The 3,469-nt window shown below is 39.2% G+C and overlaps 1 annotated feature.

Annotated features, from left to right (window-relative positions):
• Window positions 2,513-2,722: an enhancer, noted in NCBI's record as "active region_16613". NCBI's record gives its function as "activates an Ori minimal core promoter by ATAC-STARR-seq in GM12878 lymphoblastoid cells {active_cell/tissue: GM12878}" and the evidence as "EXISTENCE:reporter gene assay evidence [ECO:0000049][PMID:35858748]".

The raw sequence follows: 3,469 nt of genomic DNA, 5'->3' as shown, positions 1-3,469 counted from the left end.
CAGAACATCAAGGACTCAATACTACTCAATAAATGTTTGTTGATTGATGGACAGTCAGTGTGGTGTGGAAGTGACAATGATTTAACCAACTATCTTTTCCTTTGTAGTTGCTTTCTTTTTACTCCTCCCATCATTTTTCTTTTTTTCTGTTATTTTAAAATAATTGCAAGTATCATGAATATCTTGCTTTAAAAAATAAAGCATTATAGAGTTTTCTCTATCTTCCGCTTTCCGGATTAATCATTGCTTTATCATAGGATTAAAGAGAACTTTAGGTAACATAATTTTTGAAAATAAACAACATGTGCGTAGTACAAAATTCAAAGTGTTATAAGGTGTTATTCTGTGAAAAATAACTATTCTTATACCCTTTGCCAAAGCTACCTGTTTCTCCATCCCAGACACAACCAACATTATCAGTCTCCTCTGTGTCCTTCTAGGGATGTTGTATGTTTACACCATATATGTGCACATCATTTTTTACTTCAAATGACAGCATATCATAGACTTTGCTCTGCATCTTGTTCTTTTTGCTGAATGACACCTTGGAGACTGTTTTCTGGCAGTATTTATAGTTGCTTCATTCACAGTATTCCTCTATATGTGCATACCATCATTTGTTTGACTACTCCTCTATTAATGGGCATTAATTAGATTGTTCTCCATCTTTTGCTATTTATGAACAATAATAGAATGTGTGTTTTCCTACATATTTCATATTGTGTATGTGGTAGCATATCTATAGACTAAATTCCTAGAAGTAGAATTGCTGGTTCAAAGAATTGTGCATTAAATATTTTGATAGATATTGCTAAATTGTTCTTTATAGAAACAAGTTATACCTATATACACTCCCAATCACAATGTAAAACCATGATACATTTTAGAAAAGCTATATATCTGAGATGAAAACATGGGGAAGTTGAAAAAATCAGAGTATAGCACAGTTGCACGTCCCAGCATAGATGCTGTTGGCCAACATTCATGCACAGAATGAATGTTGCCCATCCCTGCTGTGGGAGCTTGTGTTCATTAGCTCAAACAACTCTGTGATTGTGAGGTGATTTTATTTGAAGGGACTTTAAATTGGTACCTTGTTTAACAGTTAAAGCAGCTGTTAGAAAACAACAAACATTTATTGAATATCCCTTGTGTGCCAGGAACACAGATGAACACTTCCTATGCTGTGAGGCAGGTATTATTATCCTCATTTTTTTGACGAGGAAGCTGAAATTCAGGTTAAGTAACTTGCCCATAATAGGCTGTGGAATTCAAGAAGGCCTCTCTCTTTCTAGTATGCCACACTGATTTCTTATATTACTTGTGTGATTTGGAAGATTAAGGAAGTACTCAGTCAACTGAAACTGCATTTTGTCTAAAGTGAGCTCGACAGCATTGCAGCAGGGAAGATGTCCGAATATCTGTACTTTGAACTTGTCAGTAGAAAAAGAAACCACCTGGTAGCCAAAGGATATTTCCTGAATGTAAAAATCTCAATGACATTGTAGTATTCTCTCATGCAGTAAAGGTCTTAGAGAAAGATCTGTCATCACACAGGATGACTCTGCTCAAGAAGGAACCAATTTTAATCTTAACATCATTTTAGGATTTGGCGCTATAAGAAAAGGGAGCATAAGGGAGTGGAACACAGGTTTGTTTTTTTTTTTTTTTTCCACATTAGGATACACAGCTGAGCTGCAGCACTGTCAATGACCAAAATTCGAGCCTTGTGGTTACTGCTATGATGAAATCCTGTGGAAAGGGGAGTTTCACTTCCAGACACAGACTGACCAGCAAAAGAACCAAGAAAATCCACACAATCATCTGTTGGTTTTTCCCTACTAAAGAAAACTGACAGTGATCTATTGCAGGAGGCCAGGGACGGCAATGTGCGTCTTCTGTTTGTGTTCATAAGATGTTGGTGCTGGGGGCTTTGAGAGCACCTTTTTAATAGGGGTGTTTTGCATTTCACACCTAGACGAGTAGCCCCAATACAACTAATCGGTTTAGTTCAACAATTCCTTCCCATATTCCTGCCAATATGTGAATATCTCCCGGATGAGTCAGCTGGAAGATATGTGGAATATAAATTCTTGTCTTTATGTACTGTGTTAGAGGAATATCCAGTCTAATTGTGCAGATAAACACACACACACACACACACGAAAAGCTACAAGACATTCCTACCACAAATGTTTGTTCAGAATCTGCTATGTGAAAGGTACTGAGGCTGGGTGCGGTGGCTCACACCTATAATCCCAGCACTTTGGGAGTCAGAGGCAGGTGGATCACCTGAGGTCAGGAGTTGAAGATCAGCCTGGTCAAAATTATGAAACCCCATCTCTACTAAAAACACACACAAAAAAATTAGCTGGGTGTGGTGGCACATGCCTGTAGTCCCAGCTACTCAGGAGGCTGAGGCAAAAGAATAGCTGAGCCTGGGAGGTGAGGTTGCAGTGAGCCGAGATTGTACCACTGCACTCCAGCCTGGGCAACAGAGCGAGACTCTGTCTCAAAATAAAAATAAAACTGAAAGGTACTGTGCTAGGTTTTCAGAATACAATGGAAAAAATAGATCTGGTCTCTGCCTTCCTTATTTGAATGTAGACAGGGAGACAGATGACTGAACAATTACATGAAGTGAGGATTATAGAAACAAGTGCTAGAGGTATTCAGAGAGGTTACATTAGACTGACTCAGTAGAAGAAAATGTGAAGTACAAGGTGAATGTGTCAGGCTGAATCCCTATTTACTTCAATAGGGATGGCACCATGTTCAAGAGGCTGAAGAAGAAACCTGGAGTCAGCGAACAAGACATGGGGTTAATTGAGGGAATTTACATACAGGGCGGTGTAGTGGCAGCAGGCTGGAGAGAAGAACTGCAATCACTTGTAAAAAGCATGCAATTTATATAGAATATTTACTTAGCACCCTCCCCCTAGCAACCTCCACCTGGCAACCTTCATTTAACCAAAAACAAAGGGCCTTCATCCCCTGTATGGCCTGCATTCCATGGGATGGCCTGGGAGTTCTGATGTTCCTCATGGATAAGAAGCGAGTCTCTGGGTTGGCCACTCTCAGATTCCTTAGCTTGGAACTCCAAACACATGTTCTTCTTAGACCATAGGGTCATTCTCAGGGTATGCTTAAGTTATAGCTGTCAGGTGTTTCTGCCATACAGGGTCATTCTCAGGGTGTGCTTAAGTTAAGTTATTGCTGTCAGGTGCATCTACTATACAGCATGTAGAAGCCAAAAGTGCATATGACCAAATATTTCCATTGTTTTTTTTTTTCCGCTAATGGAAGAAATCTTCCAGTTGAAAGTAAATGTGAAAGTCCTAAATGCTGCTAACCAAGTACTTCCATTCTTCCTTCTTCTGGGTTCATGTAGGATAATACTTTCCAACCCTCTTTCAAGTTAGGCCTGGCCAAATAATTTGTTTTGGTTGAAGCAAGCAAACTTGATATG

Source organism: Homo sapiens, chromosome 2 (assembly GCF_000001405.40).
Source record: "Homo sapiens chromosome 2, GRCh38.p14 Primary Assembly".
Lineage (NCBI taxonomy): Eukaryota > Metazoa > Chordata > Mammalia > Primates > Hominidae > Homo > Homo sapiens.
The sequence above is the reverse complement of the archived record's forward strand: the minus strand, read 5'-3'. Positions and strand labels throughout refer to the sequence as shown.